Source organism: Homo sapiens, chromosome 6, assembly GCF_000001405.40.
Source record: "Homo sapiens chromosome 6, GRCh38.p14 Primary Assembly".
NCBI lineage: Eukaryota > Metazoa > Chordata > Mammalia > Primates > Hominidae > Homo > Homo sapiens.
In genome coordinates this window covers 149,881,900-149,903,657 of record NC_000006.12, presented here as the reverse complement: position 1 = coordinate 149,903,657, position 21,758 = coordinate 149,881,900, and the positions used below count along the sequence as shown (strand labels likewise).

The following is a 21,758-nucleotide window of genomic DNA, read 5'->3' as shown; positions in this document are numbered from 1 at the left end:
CCATCAGATTAAGTCCTCACTGTGCCCCTCATCTGGTTCTCCCTCTTCCGTCTGCCTCTTCCTCTATAAAGATCCTGTGATTACATTGGAACCCCAGGGAAATCCAGAAAATCACCCCGTTTCCGGGGCAGATGATGAGCAACCTCAACTCCATCTGTAGCCTTCACTCCCTTTTCCATATAACCCAGTGGGGGGTTCCAGGGATTCACACCGGCATCCTCTGGGATTGGCGGGAGTGGGTGGGGGTGGCAGGTGATTATTCTTTGCAAAACACATGCCATATAATTTATGTATATATCATTTTTATACCACAAAGATGGGGGAAGAAGCAGAGCAATATTGGAGCAGAGATTTTGCATCCTGTTAAAATTAAGTTGGTTTTAATATGATCTAGGTTGTGGTAAATTAAGATATTAATTGGAATCCCCTGAAATGACTAACAAAATAACTTTTTTAAATAAAAAATGAAAAAGAGACAATAAAGGAAGTAAAATGATGCAGTAGAAAATATCTGTTTAACACAAAACAAAGCAATAGTGGTGGAAAAGATGAAGAAAATGACATAGTGCATATGGAAAACTAAGAAAAAGGTGGCAGACGTAAATTCTGTTCCACCTTAGCAGTAATTCCCTTACATGTCAAAGTGATAAACATTCAAAAGAAAAAGCAAAGATTCTCAGAATGCATTTAAAAAATGATCTAAAGATACAATGTAGATCCCAAGATACAAGTAGTTTAAAAGTAGACATATGGAAAAGATAAAACACATCCATAGTAAACAAAGACAACTGAAATTGCTATTAATAATATCAGGCAGAATCATCTTTAAGACAAACAATTTTATAAACATTCTAAGAACCAATCAACGAAAGGGAAACTCACAAGGAAAATTAGAAAATACTTTGAGATGAATGGAAACAAATACACAGCATACTATGATTTATAAGAAGCAGATAAAGCAGCACTTAAAGGAAAACTTACTGCTGTAAATGCCAGTATACTGAGAAAGAACAGGACAAAGAAAGGATTATGTCAAATTAATAACTTGATATTTCACTTTAAGAAACTCAAAGAGCAAAGCGACCTAAGCCCCAAATAACAAATGGAAGGAAATAAAAATTGGAGTGTAAATAAATGAAATAAAGAATAGAAAAACATTGGCAAACTCAATAAAACCAAAAGTTGGTTCTTTGAAAAGATCAACCAAATTGTCAAACCTTAACCTAGAATGACTAGGTAAATGGTGGAGGGATAAAACTCAAATGACTAATACCAGGAATGAAAGAAGAAACATCCCTACCAACTTTACAGAAACAAAAAGGATTATAAGGGAATACTATGTACAACCGTATGTCAATGAATTCAAGAACCTGGATGAAATGAACATCTTTCTTTTCCATTTATTTTCCAGTTATTATTGAGCCACTTTTGATTGTATCCTCCCTTCTCTACCAGAAAGGACAAAGGTTGATCACCAAAGACAATTTCAGACTCTTGTCAGGCCTAGGGACAGCAGCAGAGGCACCACAAGCTTCTCTGATGCCATAGATTGGCCTTCCCATGATCTGCCACTTCTCTAGACGTTTATTGTTTTCTGTTGAAGATGCTGGAGCTCTAAGCCAGCACTTTAAGGATTACTTGTTTTCTCCAGGTGTTTCCTGTGTATATACAAGAGACGATAGATAGATAGATAGATAGATAGATAGATAGATAGATAGATAGATAGATAGATAGATAGATAATAAACTCCTGTTTGTTTGTTTTTTTCATGAAAATCATTTTTCCTCCCCGCCGTACAAAGGCTTGTCAAAGGCACACTAATGAGCAGCTGATTGGGCTCCTCCAACCGATGAACTCTGTGTTTGGCTCTGTTTGGAAACACACTGAGGAGTCCAGCCTCTTTGGCTGCCACAGGATACATTTCCAGAAACACCTGTTAGGCGTCTGTGGATGAGGAAGGCATCAGGCCTTCCTACCTGAAGCCTTATTGACTCCTGCAAGTGCTAAAGAAACCCCTGGGGACAGGCTAGGCTGCCTGTTCCTACTGGATTTTAGGCCTGGAGACTTCTGGTGGGGGCAGCCCAGGCAGGGAAATCAGGAGCTGTGGACAGGGAGTGGAGGAGATCAGGAGGGGATGGCAAGACCCCCAGCCTGACCCCAGTCCCCAGTGCCCTCTAGCAGCAGAAATAGGAAAAGGAGGTTGAGGGCAGGCAATACTGCAACCTCCTGTGCTGAGCATACAGATAGGTCCAGCCTGGTGGCCCCGCACCTGCAGATTCAAGGCAGCCCTGCCCTGCACTAACCCTGCACCTCCCAGGCCCACTGCTCTCCCACTGTGACCCCATCCGGAGACTGGTCTATCTAAAGACCAGGACATTGACCAGCAGCCCAGTGCTCTGCTCCACGGCCTCTGTCAGGCAGGACGGAGCTGGAGCCCAGGCAGAGATAAGGACAGGGGAAGATGGCCCTTGTCAGCCAGGGATGTTCTGTCCTGCTGGGCATGCGGCCTCTCTCACAGAGAACCTACGTGATCTTGCTTCCCCCACTTTCTTATCTCATAGGCCCTACATATTTGCCAGAAACACCTGCATTCCTAACTCTTTGCCAGATGTCAGGGGCCAGCCGCCAGGGGAACTGCGTGGCAGAGCCCCTGTGCCAATGGCCAGAGAAATTCAGGAGTTCCCAGAAAACAGAGGGTGCTGGAAATCCAGGTGGGAGAGCTGCTCCTTGTGCCAAGATTTTCCTCAGAGGCTCCTTCTCCGGTGCCCTGAGCAGGGCCAAGCCTGGCGAATATTAGAATTTCTGCTGGGCTGAGAAAAAACAGCAAAAGGAGAAGCAGTCTGGGGGGTGACTTGGAGGTGGAAACTGGGTGCGGTCAGAAAAGTGAGTGGAGCCTGGAGGCCAATGAGCACCCCACCCTGGCAAGTCACAGCAGGACAGGGCAGGGGACCAGGCATAGAATTGGGCCAGTTGTAACCTGCACAACCTGGAAAAGGATTTGTATTTGTATTTCATGTACCCATTGGGTAAGGTGGCATTTATCTCCAGCTTCCTTGAGGTGAGCTCAGTTTAGGAAGTTTCTTTTCGACTGAACTGTGTCAGGAATCTCGCCAATGCCTGATGCTGCCCACCACATCTCTTTTGCTGCTGCTGTGGCTGGAACCTGCCTGGGAGGCACCGGCTGTGAAGGCTGGAGACCCAGGGAGGCTGCCCTGACACCTCTCCTTGTTCCCTGAGCCAGGGGGCCCATCTGAGCCCCTTCACCCCTGGGGAGCTGTTTTCTGTGCCTTGTATGAGGTTTTTGTCTTCACAGAAATGGCATTCTAGTAAGAGATAGAAATTTTAAATGGATAGATATGTAAATTATATGGTATGTGTGTTGGGCAGAAGAATTCCCTCTCCAATCCTCAGGATGGCAGATCCAGTCCCTGGAACCTCTGTGTTGGGGTACATGGAAAGGGCGGTGAAAGCTGTGGATGGAGCTGAGGTGGCTAATCAGCTGCCCTGGGAAAACCAGCCATGGAGGGGTAGTGTTCTCATGTAAACCAGGACTCAGCCTGGTGGAGCTGCCTTTGAAGATGAGGAAATGGGGTCCTGAGCCATGGACGTGGGCAGTTGAGCAGCTGGAAAAGGCAAGGAGGAGACAGGTTCTCCCCGAGAGCCTCCCAAAGGAACACAGCCCTGACAGCACAGTGATGATAGCTCCGTGAGACTATTCAGACTTCTGAGCTCCAGAATGGTAAAAGAATGAATGTATGTTGTTTTAAGGCACTAAATTTGCAGTAATTTGTTGCAACCACAATTAAAAGTTAATAAGGTTTGTTTGATTGTTTGTTTATAGGGATAGAGTCTCATTCTGTTGCCCAGGCTGCAAAGCAGTGGCGTGATCTCGGCTCACTGCAACCTCCGCCTCCTGGCTTCAAGTGATTCTCCTGACTCAATAAGCTGAGTAGATGGGATTACAGGCACTGGCCACCACACCCGGCTAATTCTCTTATTTTTAGTAGAGACAGGGTTTCAACATGTTGGCCAGGCTGGTCTCAAACTCAACCTCAGGTGATCCAGCCTCCCTGACCTCCCAAAATGCTGGGATTACAGGTGTAAGCCACTGTGCGCGGCTTACTAAGGTATGTTTTAAAGTGGTCATTGCTTTAGGGGAACAAGTTCAGGTGAAGAAGGTCCAGGATGGCCTGGGCAGGCAGAGGTCTCCCATTATGAAATAGAGGCCTTTACATTTAACAGTGGTTAAGATGAAAAATCACGTTACATGAATCATACCACAATTTTAAAAAAAGAAAGAAAGAAAGAAATACAAGGGTTCCAAATGCGAGGGGCAGGGAGAACCAGGCGTGGAAGGGTGTGCCACCTGGGAGCAGGAGTGGGAGTGAGCCGGGCAGATGCCTGAAGGGCAGTCCATGCTGAAGGGAGGGCAATGCAAAGTCCCAAGGCACGGGGACATCTGCAGGGCTCTGAAGACCAGCAAGGAGGCCGAGGGTGGAGGTCGGAACTGAGCGAGTGAGGGGGCATAATGGACAGCTGGCCAGACTGTGCAGGGCTCTCTAGGCATCTGTAGTGACTTTGGTTTTACTGAGAGAAAAAGGGCACTTTTGGAGAATTGGAGCAGAGGGGGGCGTGAGTGATGAGGTTCTGAAGATCACTCTGGCTGCGCTGTAGCCATTTGGGAGGTGGGGACAGGCACGGAGAACCAAGTAGGGCAGCACTGCAATCACCCTGGCCAGGAGGACGGTGGCCTAGAACCAGGGTCGAGTACTAGATGACAGTGTGGTCAAATCATAGATATTTTATTTCTAGTCCAAAGAAGAGATAAGAAAGAGGTCGAGCAAATAGGTGATTTTTTTTTTAAATTATTCACAGCCTTATAACATAACCTCTAAATCTTCAGTAAAGTTGGCTACATTCACAAGTAGCTGGTGTCACTTTGGTGGGGGCTTTGTAAGGAAGTGGGCAGGGTGTCTTTTAAGGAAGACTCAGGAGAAGTGCTGGTCTTCCAGTTGCAGAGGGGAATGGAGTTGCAAGAAGAAAACAGCGAGGTTCAGTGACACACAGTGCGAACACGAGCTCAGGGGGCAGGAGCTCCAGGTCTCAAGAGGGCAGGACGATAATGCAGTGTTTGCACAGAAACCAAGCAATAGAGGGAGCCAGCACCCACCAGAAATGAGGTAGGGCCGCTGTCACAGCTATGCCAGGACCTGCAGAAGCCTAAACCCTGAAAAAAGGTGGGGGCCCCCACCTACATATCAAGGAAAACATATGTATGCCATCACATGCTGGTCTCCAACAACTGCTAAAATTACATTAAATCCTTTCTAGAATTTCGTGGCTGGGACTTGAGTCTGGTCTTGGTCCTTCTACTGATGGTGAATCCAGTACTGAATTGGATCCAATTCTGGACGAGTTACCCTGTCCTAGAATCACTCACACGTGACAGTTGACAGGTGGCCCCACCCGGTTTGCATGGTGGACGGGTGTTCTGCTAGGCCGGCCTCTCCACACCCAGAGAGACTGAACTGGTTTCTGCTCCTCAGAGAGTTTGCACAGAGACTCTGAGGAAGCAGTCACCTCAGGCCTCTCCATCCTAGAGACGGCAGAAGGACAAACATCTCCTGCTGGCACAAGGTAGGGGGTGGGGGATGGCTGGTGTTCCAAACACCCGTGCAGAGGGAACGTGTGCATGTTTGGGAGTGAAGGAGGAAAGCAGGGGCTCGAGTGGTGAGAGAACCAGGGGCAGATAATGAAGTAAAAGTGGGGTTGGGGGAGATGCTGGGGGTGTGGCGGCGGGGACGCTGGATAAGGCAGGGAGGACGGGGTGGCTCTGCGGGTCCTCTGCCTCCACACCAAGCACTCAGGGATCCGTGCCTCCTTCCAGTCTGGAGTCCCAATCGCCCCTCTCTCCAATTTGGGGGACAGGGATTTCTCCTTGTTCTCCTGCCCTAACTCCTTCTTTCCGACTTCTCTTGTCCCATTCTCCCTCAGATCCTCCCTTCCGCTTATGCCAAGGCTTCCACAGCCTCGCTCTGCCGGGCCTTGGCATTCCTAGCCTGAGTGTTGAAACCATTGGCCGGGACCTCAAGGCAGCTGGGGCAGGGAGAGGACGGTTAGAAGCCCAGGGCACACTGCCACAAAAAGGCTGTGACTCATTTTCAGGGATTGAAAACTGCAGTCCAATTCATTTTAAAATTTTCGTCTCTCTTTGGACTTCAGGCTGAAAGTTCTTTATAGCAACGGGCTTCCAGGGACTATGTGAAATTATTGGTTTCACTTTCCTTATCACCCGCTTCTTACTTCAATTAAAATTCCATTTCAGCCGGGTGTGGTGGCTCACTCCTGTAATCCCAACACTTTGGGAGGCTGAGGGGGGAGGATTGTTTGAGCCCAGGAGTTCGAGATCAGCCTGGGCAACGTGATGAGACCCCATCTCCACACCAAAAATTTAAAAATTAGCTGGGTGTGGTGGCTCATGCCTGTAGTGCCAGCTATTCTGGAGGCTGAAGTGGAAGGACTGATTGAGCCTGGGAGTTCAAGGCTGCAGTGAGCCGTGCTCATGCCACTGCACTCCACCTGGATGACAGAGCAAGACCTGGTCTCAAAAAACAAAACAAACAAAAATCTACTTCATATGTAACCATTACTTCAGTTTTGAAACCATTGCCTGAAGCTGACATTTTGCAGTTGGAAAATGGCTATTCCTTCCCATCTTCAGGTTGGCTCAGGCCAAGCTGAGATTCAGGACCACAGAGGGCAACAAAGGTGGAAGGGCCCCTTTCCCCTTTCTGTATATTTTTCCCAGCCTGTCTGCAGCTCTTTCTTTTTCTTCAGTGTTAGGTTGGCATCCCAGATGTCAGGACCCAAGTATAGGCCTGGTGTGCTCCTTCCTGTGAGTCATCAGACTTGTAGAAAATATTGGCCCTGCTAAGGAGCTACTCAGTGGTCATATCACACATATGCACGCACACACACACAAGCACCCATGCACACACACACACACACACACAAACACACACATACACTCTGTTCTTGGCCCACCCCCGCTGGTGTCCCCACAGCAGCAGTATTGGCAGGGCGGTAGCAGTGAGTTCCTCTCTGTGTACTCTCAGGGCCTGGATGTGTACAGAACAGGCTCCACTCAGGACAGATTTGAGACCCCTTCTCCAGACCAAGAGGTGGAAGTGCACCCTCAAAATTGAGGTTCTTTAACCTTAGCAGACAGAGAACCACATAGGGGACATGTAAAAAATGTGCATTCCTCGGCTCCTTCAAACGCTTGACCCACTGTCCTCTGAGCAGACAACCCCTTATCCCCCAGCCCCAGAGATAGAGCCCTGCCGATAGTCCATGGTTACTTTCTTTGAAGTCTGTTCCATCTAGTTAAGAAAGGACAGTGGTAAAGACCCACTTACCTTACCAGGCATCATAAGGGCCCTAGCATCTGAGTCACAGGATGTCACCCTCTGGGTCTGACATGCACTTGAATTAACTGGCATACTGCCCGGCACACAGAGGGAACCTAGATGTGGAACGGATATGGGTGGTGTTACAGGCCGCATGTTTGCCTGCCTTCCAAATTCATATGCAGAAATCCTAATTCTCAAGGTGATGCTATTTAGGAAGTCATAACTCATGTGAGTGGAGCCATGTGGGATTAAGAAGTGATAGGAGAGCTTGCTGTCTGTCTCTGCTCTCCACTGTGTGAGGATACAACAGGAAGACAGCCATCTGGTGAGGAAGAGAGGGCCCTCGCCAGATACCGGACCTGCTGACACCTTGATCTTGGACTTCCCATCTTCCAGGAAGGTAAGAAATAAATGCTTGGTGTTTCAGCCACCTTGTCTATTCTGTTGTAGCAGCCTGAACTGGCTAAGGTAGCAGGGTCTGATGATCAAATGGGACAGCTGTAAAAGTGAGGTGGGAAGGGGGTCTACAGATACTAAGTTTTATGAGGAAAACTTGTGCTTTATTTGAAAATGACACAAAATTTTGTTCTAAGAAAAATTTTCAGAATTCAAAACTTAGAGCCCTAAGACTTTTCCCAATGATAGACTTGGCTTTCCTTGAGGTCTTGGCCCCAGTAGGACTGCTGGAGTCTATTACAAAACTCATCTGGAAGGACCTCTGCCGTTGCTGAGGCTTGAGGAAATGGTTTTAAGGTCACAGTGTAAACAAAACTGCTGGGAAGTTGGAACTGGGCGGAGCCCACTGCAGCTCAGCAAGGCTGCTATGGCCAGACTGCCAGATTTCTCCTCTCTGGTCAGGGCATGTTGGTAAACAAGGCAGCAGCCCCAATCAGGGGCTTATAGCAGACTTAAATGTCCCCGCCTGATGGCTCTGAAGAGGGCAGCAGACCTCCCAGCACAGCATTCGAGCTCTGCTAAGGGTCAGACTGCCTCCTCAAGTGGGTGCCTGACACCCACGTATACTGACTGGGAGACACCTCCCAGTAGGGGCCGACAGACACCTCATACAGGAGAGCTCTGGCTGGCATCTGGCAGGTGCCCCACTGGGTCAAAGCTTCCAGAGGAAGGAACAGGCAGCAATCTTAGCTGCTCTGCAGCCTCCGCTGGTGATACCCAGGTAAACAGGGTTGGGAGTGGACCACCGGCAAACTCCAGCAGACTGGCAGCAGAGGGGCCTGATGGTTAGAAGGAAAAGAAACAAACAGAAAGGATTAGCACGTCCCCTCAAAGACCCCATCTGAAGGTCACCAACATTAAAGACCAAAGGTGGATAAATCCACAAAGATAGGAAAAAACCAGTGCGCAAAGCCTGAAAATTCCAAAAACAAGAACGCCTCTCCTCCTCCAAATGATCACAACTCCTCGCCAGCAATGGAACAAAACTGGACAGAAAATGAGTTTCACGAACTAACAGAAGTAGCCTTCAGAAGGTGAATAATAACAAACAACTCCAAGCTAAAGGAGCATGTTCTAACAAATGCTAGGAAGATAAGAACCTTGAAAAAAGGTTAGTCGAATTGCTAATTAGAATAACCAATGTAGAGAGGAACATAAATGACCTGATGGAGCTAAAAAACAGCATGAGAACTTTGTGAAGAATACTCAAGTATCAATAGCCAAATCAATCAAGCGGAAGAAAGGATATCAGTGATTGAAGATCAACTTAATGAAATAAAGAGAGAAGACAAGATTAGAGAAAAAAGAATAAAAAGGAATGAACAAAGCCTCCAAGAAATGTGGTACTATGTGAAAAGACCAAATCTACATTTGATTGGTGTACCTGAAAGTGACAGTGAGAATAGAACCAAGTTGGAAAACACTCTTCAGGTTATTATCCAGGAAAACTTCCCCAACCTAGCAAGGCAGGCCAACATTCAAATTCAGGAAATACAGAGAACATCACAAAGATACTCCTCAAGAAGAGGAGTTCTGAAACTATTCCAAACAATAGAAAAAGAGGGAATCCTCCCTAACTCATTTTATGAGGCCAGCATCATCCTGATACCAAAACCTGGCAGAGACACAACAAAAAAATAAAATTTCAGGCCAATATCCCTAATGAACATTGATGCAAAAATCCTGGCAAACCGAACCCAGCATTACATCAAAAAGCTTATCCACCACGATCAAGTTGGCTTCATACCTGGGATGCAAGGCTGGTTCAACATACACAAGTCAATAAACGTAATCCATCACATAAACAGAACCGATGACAAAAACCACATGATTATCTCAATAGATGCAGAAAAGAACTTTGATAAAATTCAACACCACTTCATGCTAAAAACTCTCAATAAACTAGGTATTGATGGAACATATCCGAAAATAATGAGAGCTATTTATGACAAACCCACAGCCAATATCATACTGAATGGGCAAAAACTGGAAGCGTTCCCTTTGAAAATCAGCACAAGACAAGGATGCCCTCTCTCACCACTCCTATTCAACATAGTATTGGAACTTCTGGCCAGGGCAATCAGGCAAGAGAAAGCAATAAAGTACATTCAAACAAGAGAAGAGGAAGTCAAATTGTCTCTGTTTGCAGATGACATGATTGTATATTTAGAAAACTCCATCATCTCAGCCCAAAATCTCCTTAAGCTGACAAGCAACTTCAGCAAAGTCTCAGGATACAAAATCAATGTGCAAAAATCACAAGCATTCCTATGCAACAATAACAGACAAACAGACAGCCAAATCATGAGTGAAGTCCCATTCACAATTGCTACAAAGAGAATAAAATACCTAGGAATACAACTTACAAGGGATGTAAAGGACCTCTTCAAGGAGATCTACAAACCACTGCTCAAGGAAATAAGAGAGGACATAAACAAATGGAAAAACATTCCATGCTCATGGATAGGAAGCACTAATATCGTGAAAATGGCCATACTGCCCAAAGTAATTTATAGATTCAATGCTATCCCCATTAAGCTACCACTGACTTTCTTCACAGAACTGGAAAAAACTACTTTAAACTTCATATGGAACCAAAAAGGAGGCTGCATATCCAAGACAATCCTGGGCAAGAAGAGCAAAGCTGGAGGCACCGTGCTACCTGACTTCAAGCTATACTACAAGTCTACAGTAACCAAAATAGCATGGTGCTGGTACCAAATATATAGACCAATGGAACAGAATGGAGGCCTCAGAAATAACACCACACAGCTACAACCATCTGATCTTTGACAAACCTGACACACACAAGCAATGGGGAAAAGATCCCCTGTTTAATAAATGGTGTTGGGAAAACTGGCTAGCCATATGCAGAAAACTGAAACTGGACCCCTTCCTTACACCTTATACAAAAATCAACTCAAGATGGATCAAAGACTTAAACATAAGACATAGGACCATAAAAATCCTAGAAGAAAACCCGGGCAATACCATTCGGGATATAGGCATGGGCAAAGACTTCCTTTCTAAAACACCAAAAGCACTGGCAACAAAAGCCAAAATTGGCAAATGGGATCTAATTAAACTAAAGAGCTTCTGCACAGCAAAAGAAACTATCATCAGAGTGAACAGGCCACCTACAGAATGGGAGAAGATTTTTGCAATCTATCCATCTGACAAGGGGCTAATATCCAGAATCTACAAAGAACTTAAACAAATTTACTAGAAAAAAAACAACCCCATCAAAAAATGGGCAAAGTATATGAACAGACCCTTCTCCAAAGAAGATATTTATGCAGCCAACAGACATATGAAAAAATGCTCATCATCACTGGTCGTTAGAGAAATGCAAATCAAAACCACAATGAGATACCATCTCACGCCAGTTAGAATGACGTTCATTAAAAAGTCAGGAAATAACAGATGTTGGAGAGGTTGTGGAAAAATAGAAACACTTTTACACTGTTGGTGGGAGTGTAGATTAGTTCAAACATTGTGGAAGACAGTGTGGCAATTCCTTACGGATCTAGAACGAGAAATACCATTTGACTCAGTGATCCCATTACTGGGTATATACCCAAAGGATTATAAATCATGCTGCTATAAAGACACACGCACACGTATGTTTATTGTGGCACTATTCACAATAGCAAAACTTGTCCATCAATGATAGATTAAGAAAATGTGGCACGTATACACCATGGAACACTATGCAGCCATAAAAAGGGATGAGTTTATGCCCTTTGCAGGGACGTGGATAAAGCTGGAAACCAACATTCTCAGCAAGCTATCACAAGATCAGAAAACCAAATACCACATGTTCTCACTCATAGGTGAGAGTTGACCAATGAGAACACATGGACACAGGGAGGGGAACATCACACACCAGGGCCTGTCACGGGGTGGGGGGCTAGGAGAGGGGTAACATTAGGAGAAATACCTAATGTAGGTGATGGGTTGATGGGTGCAGCAAACTACCAGGGCACGTATATACCTATGTAACAAAACTACACGTTCTGCACATGTAACCCAAAACTTAAAGTATAATAAAAAAAAATTTTTTTTTGTAGAGATGGAGTCTTACTATGTTGCCCAGGCTGGTCTTGAACTCCCGGCCTCAAGTGATCCTCCTGCCTCATCCTCCCAAAGTGCTGGGATTATAGGCATGAGCCACTGTGAGGGCCTGGCCATTTCAGTTTCGTTAATTAGCATCTATGATAGTGCCTGATACATGTAGTAGACACTCTGTGTTTATTGAGTGACTCAATATGTTTTATTACAATTACACACACACACACACACACAAAACCCATCTGTCATGGTAGACCACTTGCTGCCTGTTTGCAGCTAGTTTAATTAATACTGGGGTGTGCTTGGTGAGAGAAAATCTCAACCATTTAAGAGGAAAGAGTTTGAACGGGTTAGGGACAGTGGGAGAGGGGAGAATGGCGATGGGAGAAAATACAGGAATGGGCAGGGGGTACCAGGAAGAAAGGGAAAAGCAAAAGAGGCAGGGAGGAGAAGGGAAGAGGAAACTGGAGGAAAGGAGAAGGAGCTCACATAACCTCCAACCATCCTGCTCACACCAGAGGGGGTTTTTTTTGCAGGGGCAGCAGGGACAGGAGAGGAGAGAGAGTTTATTCAAAGTTAATTTTGTTTTTAAATGTCTTCTTTTATTTTTCAATAAATGATTATATTCTGAATACTTGGAAAACACTCTCTTCACAAAATTGTTCTTTAATTGGGTCTCTACAGGCCTGACCTCAGTTGTTCCAGGGTAAAGAATTTGGGCAGTGCCCACACCCACGCTGTTGGATAACATTTCTTCACCATACCAGTGAGGGTGAATGTGTACACGCCCAGCTTCCTGCCTGTTACTCTCCACAGTATGCGAAGAATATCCCTGACTTCTAGCCCTGTGCGCCTTCTTTTGTTTCTGCTGTTGCTACTAATAGCCTTGGAGATCATGGTTGGTGAGTGTCCTGAGCACAAGAACTGGCTGAGGACAAGGAGGAGGGAGAAAGGTAGGGGGTAGGCGAATGGGGCTTCATGCAGGCTTCAGACAAGTGGGTGCCTGCTCTTAAGGATGACGTGAGGAAGAGGATCCCTGGGATGTTACACCCAGTTCATGGGAGACCACAGCCTGAGGCCCTAGGCAAGGCACTGGCTCACAGAGGGCAGTTCTACAATGCTACCCCCCGCCTTCTACTCCAGGTCACTTTCCTGAACATCTGGGACCCCACAGGAATTCAGCGTGTGTCCTGTGATAAATGCCTCTTTTTCCTTTCTATTGAATGTCATGTGTGTTCAGCTAGAGTTTAAGTCTCAGGAGGTCATACACTGGCTTGTCTGTTTTGTGCCTCAGAACTTGGTAGATGTTGCTAAAAGTACTTGTGACATGAATCCTCCTGTTAACACCATTAACACTAAGTGCACCCCAGGGGTCCCTGGTACCATCAAGTATCTCATCCCAGACAGTCAGGGAGAGATGGGAACAGGGATCCAGAAGGTTGAGGGAGTCTGGGATGGAGCTGCCCCGCCTCTGCTAGCCTGGCCCAGTCCAGGGAGTCTTGGGTCACAGAAGCGCAGGTTCTAATGGGCCTCTTCCCCTGTCCTGGACCTCACCTGCATCTTTGTCTCACAGGTGGTCACTCTCTTTGCTTCAACTTCACTATAAAATCATTGTCCAGACCTGGACAGCCCTGGTGTGAAGCGCAGGTCTTCTTGAATAAAAATCTTTTCCTTCAGTACAACAGTGACAACAACATGGTCAAACCTCTGGGCCTCCTGGGGAAGAAGGTATATGCCACCAGCACTTGGGGAGAATTGACCCAAACGCTGGGAGAAGTGGGGCGAGACCTCAGGATGCTCCTTTGTGACATCAAACCCCAGATAAAGACCAGTGGTAAGTGTGGAATGGGGTGGGCAAACAGAGGCAGGCAGTAAGAGAGGGGAGGGAAGAACACAGATGGGGAGGGGCTTTAGGTATATCTGTGTATTGATCATTGGCCCAACCATAGAGGCACATGGGACCCAATGGGCAGGAAAGGGCAAGTCTGGGCAGAAAGAATACAGACCCCTAAATGTGCAGAGAAACACTTGACCTATTGGAGGATGATGGACTTCTCAAAGAGTGGAGGATGATGGCTTTGTGTTTGGATTGCAGATCCTTCCACTCTGCAAGTCGAGATGTTTTGTCAACGTGAAGCAGAACGGTGCACTGGTGCATCCTGGCAGTTCGCCACCAATGGAGAGAAATCCCTCCTCTTTGACGCAATGAACATGACCTGGACAGTAATTAATCATGAAGCCAGTAAGATCAAGGAGACATGGAAGAAAGACAGAGGGCTGGAAAAGTATTTCAGGAAGCTCTCAAAGGGAGACTGCGATCACTGGCTCAGGGAATTCTTAGGGCACTGGGAGGCAATGCCAGAACCGACAGGTAACTGAGCTGGGTGGGAGAATGTGGCAGCTCCCTTTAAAGGTCAAAAGCCTTCCCTGTGTGGGTGTCAGTGTGTGTGTGCGATAGAAAATTTGATTGACTTCTCCGTGGGCTTCCTGTCTGGAGAGTCAGTGATGGCTATAAGGATTTCCCACCATCCTCCCTTTCCCATCCCACCTCCCACTGTTTCTTCCTCAGTGTAGAAACCCCTTCCCATTAACCAATGATCCAGTCACAATGACCCACTGCTAAATGGTCCCAAGTCTATCTGTGTCATTGCAAACATCCAGGCCTTCTCTTCCTCTATTATAATTACCCTTCCACCAGCTCTAATGCCACTTCTTAGGAAGCCTTCCCCACCTTCCCCACACAGAATTAAGCACCACCCATTGTGTCATCCTCCAAACAGTTCTAACCACAGTAATCGTGAAACTGTGTGGTAATCAGATGGATATTTGCTACCTCTCTCAGTAGAAATCTGAGCTCCATAAGGACAAGGCACAACCCCTATTCATCTTCATGGCCCAGGGCCTGGTAGAGTGGCTGTCACATGAGCCAGTGATTATGTGGGGCACCATGTGTTCCTGGGGAAAGCAGGGGCTAAGGAAAGCATATTTTTATGCTTTTTTTTTTTATGTGACAGGGCTTGTGCTTTTTTTTCTTTTTTTTTTTTTTTTTAGTGTCACCAGTAAATGCTTCAGATATCCACTGGTCTTCTTCTAGTCTACCAGATAGATGGATCATCCTGGGGGCATTCATCCTGTTAGTTTTAATGGGAATTGTTCTCATCTGTGTCTGGTGGCAAAATGGTGAGTGGCAGGCTGGTCTCTGGCCCTTGAGGACGTCTTAGTCTGGTAAGGACTCAAGAGAGGTGAATCATGGGTCTCATCCAAGCCCCCGCTCCCTGATCCATCTCTCTCCACAGAAATGGTGCACTGCCTTAGTCTTGAGCCCCCACACTACACAGCAGGGCTGGCAGCACAATGTGCAGTGAGAGGAGGGATGAAGCAATCATCTCCTCTCGAGGAGGGGCAAGGTCAAAGATCTGGAACGCCTGCCTGGGGTGTTGTCTCCTTGCCATCCGGCCCAGGTTTCATCCAGCTCTTTGACGGAAAGTTTGTTTGCTGTCTGCGTTTACCGTGATTTAGCTCAGCAGGTCCCATCCCCTTTTCCCGTTCACCCTGAGAAGACTTGCTGGTGGCGCTTGTGGCTGCAGCATTTACTCCCAGATAACATACAAGATGTGGTATAAGAAATCCTTTCACCACCCTCTAAACATTACAGTGCCGAACTACATCCTACATTTTTAGTAGAGATGGGGTTTCTCCATGTTGGTCAGGCTCGTCTTGAACTCCCGACCTCAGGTGATGCTCCCGCCTCGGCCTCCCAAAGCGCTGGGATTACAGGGGGAGCCAACACACCTGGCTGAGAGAACTATTATATGCCAGACACATTGCCAGACATCTTCTGCTCTTTGGTCCTGTTTCTCCGCCACTGCTCTGACATGAAGAATTCATTTCTTTCTTCCATTGCTGTCTTTGTCCTCATAGTGTCTTCTCTAAATTGACCCAGGCAGACCTCAACATTTTCAAGTACAGCAATTTGGAAAAGTTAAGTAGAGCTCTAGGGTTCAAGTCACAGTTCCTGGGGCTCTCTCTGTGGAGTTCAAAGTTAGGATTCCCTCTAATGAGAAAAATAGGCTACTCCATCTGACTCACTGAGGATCAATGTTTCTGATGTAAGAAATGATTCTACCCTTTTCATTGCTTAAACGAATACCATGACTCAGATATGTGTCTGTTTTGCAGGGGCCCTGACATGAAAAGTGAGTTTGCCAAGATCGGTGTCACAACAGGCTTGGCAAGATATGGCTTGAGTCAGATAAGGGCCACTGGTCCAGAAGGGGCTCGTGTGGTGGGTGGTGTGATGGCAGCAGGAACCCAGGGAGTGAATATGCTGAGATAGGAAGGGGTCCCACCCACAGAGCTGCAGGCAAAGGGGTCCCACCTTAATCCCTGGTGGAAGGTGACTGAGAAGGACTTAACTGCCCCAACCAAGCAGGCTGGGACTTCAGTGCCATTGACAATAGTGAAGGGGATTGGTGAGTAGGAAGGGAGGCAAAAGAACAGTTTTAGAAGCTGGGTCTGAACAGTAGGGATTTAAAGGAGGTGGGACCTCCATAGACACCTGGGAGTTCCTGGCCTCTAGCCTCATCCTGGTAACCGAGTCGGCTGCTGAAGGGCTTCCTGTCTGGGCAGGAGCAGGCAGGGATCAAGCGCCGGTGGAGGTCAGTGCCCACAGCTGAGCTGAACAGAAGTGGGAGGCAGAGTGGGCCTGGGGAAAGGTGTATTACAATTCAAGGGGAAAAAAATATATCTGCCACCCTTTGGGGAGGGCCTCCCCACTGTGTCGCATGGATTTCTCTGTCACGGGGAAGAGCAGCACCCAGGGAAAAAGAGCTTTGTGTGCCCATGACACATTCCTATTTTGTTGTCTCTGGCATTTCTGGGCATTGTTTCTGCTGAAGTGACAGAAGAGAGAAAAAGCTGATCAAAGCTAAATGACAGAGCAAAGGGGTTGACAGGGAGTGTCTTTTCAAATACACAGGGACATTCACCAAGAAGGGCCATTTTTGGATCATAAAATAAATCTCATCTGGGCGTGATAGCTCACTCCTGTAATCCCAGCACTTTGGGAGGCCAAGTTGGGTGGATCATTTGAGGTCAGGAGTTCGAGACCAGCCTGGCCAACATGGCGAAACCCTGTCTCTACTAAAAATACAAAAATTAGCCGGGTGTGGTGGCATGGGCCTGTAATCCCAGCTACTCGGGAGGCTGAGACAGGAGAATCGCTTGAACTCAGGAGGCGGAGTTTGCAGTGAGCTGATATTGCGCCATTGCACTCCAGCCTGGGTGACAGAGTGAGATTCCATCTCAATAAATAAATAAATAAATAAATCTCAACATATGTAAAGGGTTAAAATCATGCGAAGCATCTTGTCCAAGCACAATGGAAATAAACTAGAAATCAACAGCAGGAAGCTATCTGGAAAAATCCTCAAATGTTTGGATATCAAATAATATGCTTCCAAATAACTATATATCAAATTAAAAAGTACAAGGAAAACTAGAAAGTATTTTGAAATGAATGAAAATGATAATACAAAATATCAAAATCTATCAGACACAGATAAGAAAATGTCTAGAGGCATCCACACTGAACTTTTTGATCTCTGAATCACCGTGCATCATTGCTGCCAAATTTTTTGCTCATGCTCATCTCTGCCTGGAATTTTCTTTCTTACCTGACCGAATTCCAGACAGCTATCCAAGTCCAGTTTAACTGTCACCTCCTCTAAGAAGTCACCATTCTTCCTGGATAGAATTAACTACCCCCACTCGTAGCTCAGAAACTCTGACCACAGAAAAATTATCACATTGTTTTATGATTGGGTGTATGTCAGTAAATTGATGCGCTTACTTGAGGACATTACTTTTGTAACCTGAGAATCTATCATGGCTGCTATATAGTAGACGCTCAGGACATGTGAGGACTTGAGTGGCAGCGGAGGTAAGGGTCATCTCCTGGGTATGGAGCTTGGACAAGAACCTGCACTCTTCTGTTCCATTTCACCTCAACCATCCATGTCCCCAACCACATCTCCACCATCCTACCTGTACCAAGTGCTAATCCTTTGAATCATGTCAGTGACTATCTTCAGCTCAATCCCAATCACAGGTCAGGAGGGAGGGCATCAGGTATACTGTGAGCAAAACAGAGTATGAGATGGGGCCAACTGGCCTCTGGATTAGGGGCAGGGCTTGTCCTGTATGAGGACAGGGAGAAATGAGGTTGCTAAGTCTCCCCAAGACCCCTGCCAAATCTCACCATAGACATAAGATGAGGTGAATTTCATTTATCGCCTGGGCATTCACGACCTGAGAGGCTTAGCTCTGGGTCAAGTTGAGCCCTCTCTGTCCCTGGCCAACAGGAGAAAGGCAAAGGCTGAATGAGTCTCGGGGACTGTCTCTGCTTTGCAAGTGGGCCCTGAGGTGAACAGGGACCTTTCCAAATTAATGCATCCACAGCGGTTTGGCAAAGTCGGGCTTTAAACCAGGGTCACTCTCCAGGGGTTGCCTATGTGATGGGTGGTCTGATGGACAGAAACACAGAGGGTGGGCAAGACACAATTTTGGGTGGGGCAGCAGCTTGATGATCTGACCATCTGACCATGGGAAAGTATATCACATGCCAAAGGTTGAGGGGTCTCTAGGTTTAATTCCTAGGAGGACATAATGAAGAAGGCTGCCTGGGCTCCAACAAAGCAGGCTGGAGGCAGGGCCACACAGACCGTGGGAGAGGGGATTGTGAGCAGAAGGGAAGGCTGAAAGTGAACCCTAGACACTCTGTGAGGACAGCAAGGACTAGAAGGTGGGATTCCTTTGACACCTGGGTTTCTGGTTCACCCCTGACACAGGAATCCTGGCAAATGGCGTCGTGCCAAGCCCCACCCTCAGTGCTCTGGACCTGCCGCAGGGATACCCTTGCCCACAGCTGGAAGACTCTTGCCCCCGCTGTGGGCCTTCCCACTGTGTTCCCACTGATACTTTGCCTTCCTTGGCTCTGAACCCCTAAAATCTCTGCTGGGGTCTGGGTCTAACTAATGATGAAGTAACGGAAAGTGAACAATCATAAACTAGATGACAGAGAGGCAGAATGTGAACAATAGCGGCTGATCTCTCCCTGAGAGAGAGGTGGGATCTGAGTCCTGAGAGATCACGGAGGGGTCAATCCTGAGCTGATCTGACCCAGGGTTCTGCACTCTTTTGTCTCCTTCCTAAAGGCAGAAGATCCACCTAGAGGTGATACCACGGCGGCGCAGAGTTGTTCACCTGTGGTCCTCGATCGCTGACAGCCTTGGCTCCCACTGCTGTGTGTTCCCTGAGTCAAGTGGAGGCGGAGCCTGCAATGAGCGGAGATCGCGCCTCTGCATTCCAGTCTTGGCAACAGAGCAAGACTCCGTCTCAAAAAAAAAAAATTTTTTTTCAGTACATATTTTTTAAAAGATAGGGCTGGGCACAGCAGCTCACATCTATAATCCCAACACTTTGGGAGGCCTAGGCAGGAGGATCACTTGAGCCCAGGAATCTGAAGCTGCAGTGAGCCTTTGCTCGTGAGATTGTGGACCTATGATCCTACCACCAGCCCACCTGGTTCTAACACCCCCTCCTCTATGTGTGAGAGGGAGAGAAGAAAAGTGAGGGAGAAAAGAGAGATAAGCAAAGAACAGAGAGGAAAAATGGAAAATAAGAGGAAATTGGGGGAATTAAACAGAGGGGAGGGCATGGATCCCCGGGAGTTAGAAGAGTAGCAGCTTGTGGATTACTACGCAGTGGAGGAAGAAGAGTTGTTGGAAATTATTTGAGAGGTAGTATAATCATTTGTGAGGCAGTTTTCTGCATTCACCATTTCTCACAGACTAAGTTACTCATAAGCAAACGTGCAATTCACATTACACTGAAATTCTTCCCTAATACATCATTTGCATTGGAATAAAGTACGGTTTTCAAACAACCTGATATAGCAGAACTGACTGTATAAATTATGTGAGCACAGTGCAAGTAATTCTTTGTTTGTTTGTTTGTTTTTTTGAGACAGAGTCTCACTCTATCTCCCAGGCTGGAGTGTAGTGGTGCGATCCCGGCTCACTGCAACCTCGATCTCCCAGGCTCAAGCGATTCCCCTGCCTCAGCCTCCTGAGTAGCTGGGATTACAGGCATGAGCCACCACGCCCGGCTAATTTTTGTATTTTTAGTAGAGACGGGGTTTCACCCTGTTGGCCAGGCTGGTCTCGAACTACGGACCTCAGGTGATCTGCCCCCCTCAGCCTCTCAAAGTGCTGGGATTATAGCATGAGCCACTGAGCCCAGACACAAGTAGTTCTTTCTGATAAACACTTTAACACTGAATGCAAAAAAAAAAAAAAAATTGTGTGTGTACTTTTTTTAATTTTACTTTAAAATAGACACACCAAACATGTTTCTAAATAAATGTAATATGGAAATCTTTCTTTTTCTCCTCCATTCTCAGTGATGATATGGTTGTAAATTCTTATCATCTGATAATTTTTATCAGATCTTTACAAATTATAAACTTATTTGCAACTCTGTTTTCAGACTATCCCTTCTATTATGATCATGAAACTGAATTAAATAGGTAGCTATTTTTTTGACTTTTACTCCTTTATTTTTATTTTCATAGTTTTACAAGAATATAATATATGTAATCTGTCTTCCATTTTAAACCTAAAGTCTTCCTAATCTCTTCTTCATAGTTTCAACAAACATAAAGGTAACAATTCAAAGCACCTGTCGCTTCGACAAGAAGATATTTTACATATTTAAAAAAACAGATAACAATTTTAAAATACTTGCTATAAGAATAAAATTGTATTTAATAAGTAGAACTAAAATTTTGACTGATGTTGCAATAGATTTGGTGGGGGCTTTTTTTGTGGGTCTTTTTTTTTTTGAGTCAGGGTCTTGCTCTGTTGTCCAGGCTGGAGTACAGAGGTGTGAACGCAGCCCACTACAGCCTTGAACTCCTAAGCTGAAACGATCCTCCTGCTTCAGCCTCCCATACTGCTGGGACCACAGGCATGAGCCATCCCACCCAGCTAATTTTCAGATTTTTTTTATAGATATGGGCGTTTCACTATGTTGCCTAGGCTGGTCTCAAACACCTGGGCTCAGGTGATCCCCTGCCTCAGCCTCCCAAATCGCTAGGATTACAGGCATAAGCCTCTGTGCCTGGCCTCTTTATTATCATTATTATTTTATATTTTCAAACTAGGAAAAAAGCTATGCAGTAACAGAAAATTCTAGTTATATTTAAAACAGGATTGTAAGAGAAACATGTTAATGTAATTTTGGTTTTCTCTTTTTTATAATTTTAACATTTTAGATTCAGGGAGTACATGTGCAGTTTTGTTACATGGATATATTGTGTGACACTGAGGTTTGAGATATGAATGATCTCATGTAGTGAGCAGCAGCACAGTACTCAATGGCAGTTTTTAGTCCTCGCCCCTCCATCTCTCCCCTCCTCATAGTCCCCAGTGTCTACTCTTCCCATCTTTATGTCCATGTGTACCCAAAGCTTAGCTCCCACTTAAGAATGAGAACATGCAGTATTTGGTTTTCTGTTCCTATATTAATTCACTTAGGATAATGGCCTCCAGTTGCATCCATGTTGATCCAAAGGACACAATTTTGTTCTTTTTTATGGCTGCATGGTATTCCATGGTGTATATGTGCCACATTTCCCTTATCCAATCCACAATTGATGGGCACCTAGGTTGATTCTACGTCTGCTGTTGTGAATAGTGCTGCAATGAACATGTGAGCATGTGTGTCTTTTCGCTAGAATGATTTCTTTTCCTTTGGGTA

The 21,758-nt window shown here is 46.0% G+C and overlaps 1 protein-coding gene and 2 long non-coding RNA genes across 9 annotated transcripts in view, besides 1 other annotated feature; 2 read left to right on the top strand and 1 right to left on the bottom strand.

Moving 5' to 3' along the window:
* RAET1E-AS1 (RAET1E antisense RNA 1) overlaps positions 1–21,758 on the bottom strand; it is a 56,011-nt gene that overhangs the window by 15,851 nt on the left and 18,402 nt on the right. The window contains exons 1-2 of one of the 2 annotated variants that reach the window (NR_045127.1): positions 13,494–13,555; positions 7,419–7,525 (exon numbers count right to left, since the gene is read on the bottom strand). The exons of the other annotated variant lie outside the window; for it this stretch is intronic. This is a non-coding gene — a long non-coding RNA (RAET1E antisense RNA 1). Of the gene's footprint in view, positions 1–7,418; positions 7,526–13,493; positions 13,556–21,758 lie in introns of those variants that run through there. 2 annotated transcript variants of the gene reach the window in all.
* Positions 4,991–5,285: a silencer, noted in NCBI's record as "tiled region #9442; HepG2 Repressive non-DNase unmatched - State 20:ReprD, and K562 Repressive DNase unmatched - State 20:ReprD". NCBI's record gives its function as "represses a minimal TATA promoter and a strong SV40 promoter by Sharpr-MPRA in HepG2 and K562 cells {active_cell/tissue: HepG2 | K562}" and the evidence as "EXISTENCE:reporter gene assay evidence [ECO:0000049][PMID:27701403]".
* Positions 5,545–20,479, top strand: RAET1E (retinoic acid early transcript 1E). 6 transcript variants are annotated; one of them, NM_001394056.1, is made up of 7 exons: positions 5,545–5,637; positions 7,626–7,812; positions 12,624–12,841; positions 13,513–13,773; positions 14,035–14,310; positions 14,991–15,119; positions 19,154–20,479. In NM_001394056.1, the coding sequence occupies exons 3-7, from the start codon at positions 12,757–12,759 to the stop codon at positions 19,168–19,170; spliced, it is 768 nt and encodes a 255-aa protein (NP_001380985.1). In that variant the 5' UTR covers positions 5,545–5,637; positions 7,626–7,812; positions 12,624–12,756; the 3' UTR covers positions 19,171–20,479. The 6 variants fall into 6 exon arrangements, with proteins under 6 accessions (NP_001380985.1, NP_001380986.1, NP_001230257.1 ...); NM_001394057.1 differs by having other exon boundaries at positions 14,991–20,479; NM_001243328.3 differs by lacking the exons at positions 5,545–5,637; positions 14,991–15,119 and having other exon boundaries at positions 7,528–7,812.
* Positions 7,528–21,758, top strand: part of RAET1E-LRP11 (RAET1E-LRP11 readthrough) — a 77,374-nt gene continuing 63,143 nt past the window's right edge. Inside the window, exons 1-5 of the long non-coding RNA NR_182438.1 lie at positions 7,528–7,812; positions 12,624–12,841; positions 13,513–13,773; positions 14,035–14,310; positions 14,991–15,119. This is a non-coding gene — a long non-coding RNA (RAET1E-LRP11 readthrough). The remainder of the gene's footprint in view (positions 7,813–12,623; positions 12,842–13,512; positions 13,774–14,034; positions 14,311–14,990; positions 15,120–21,758) is intronic.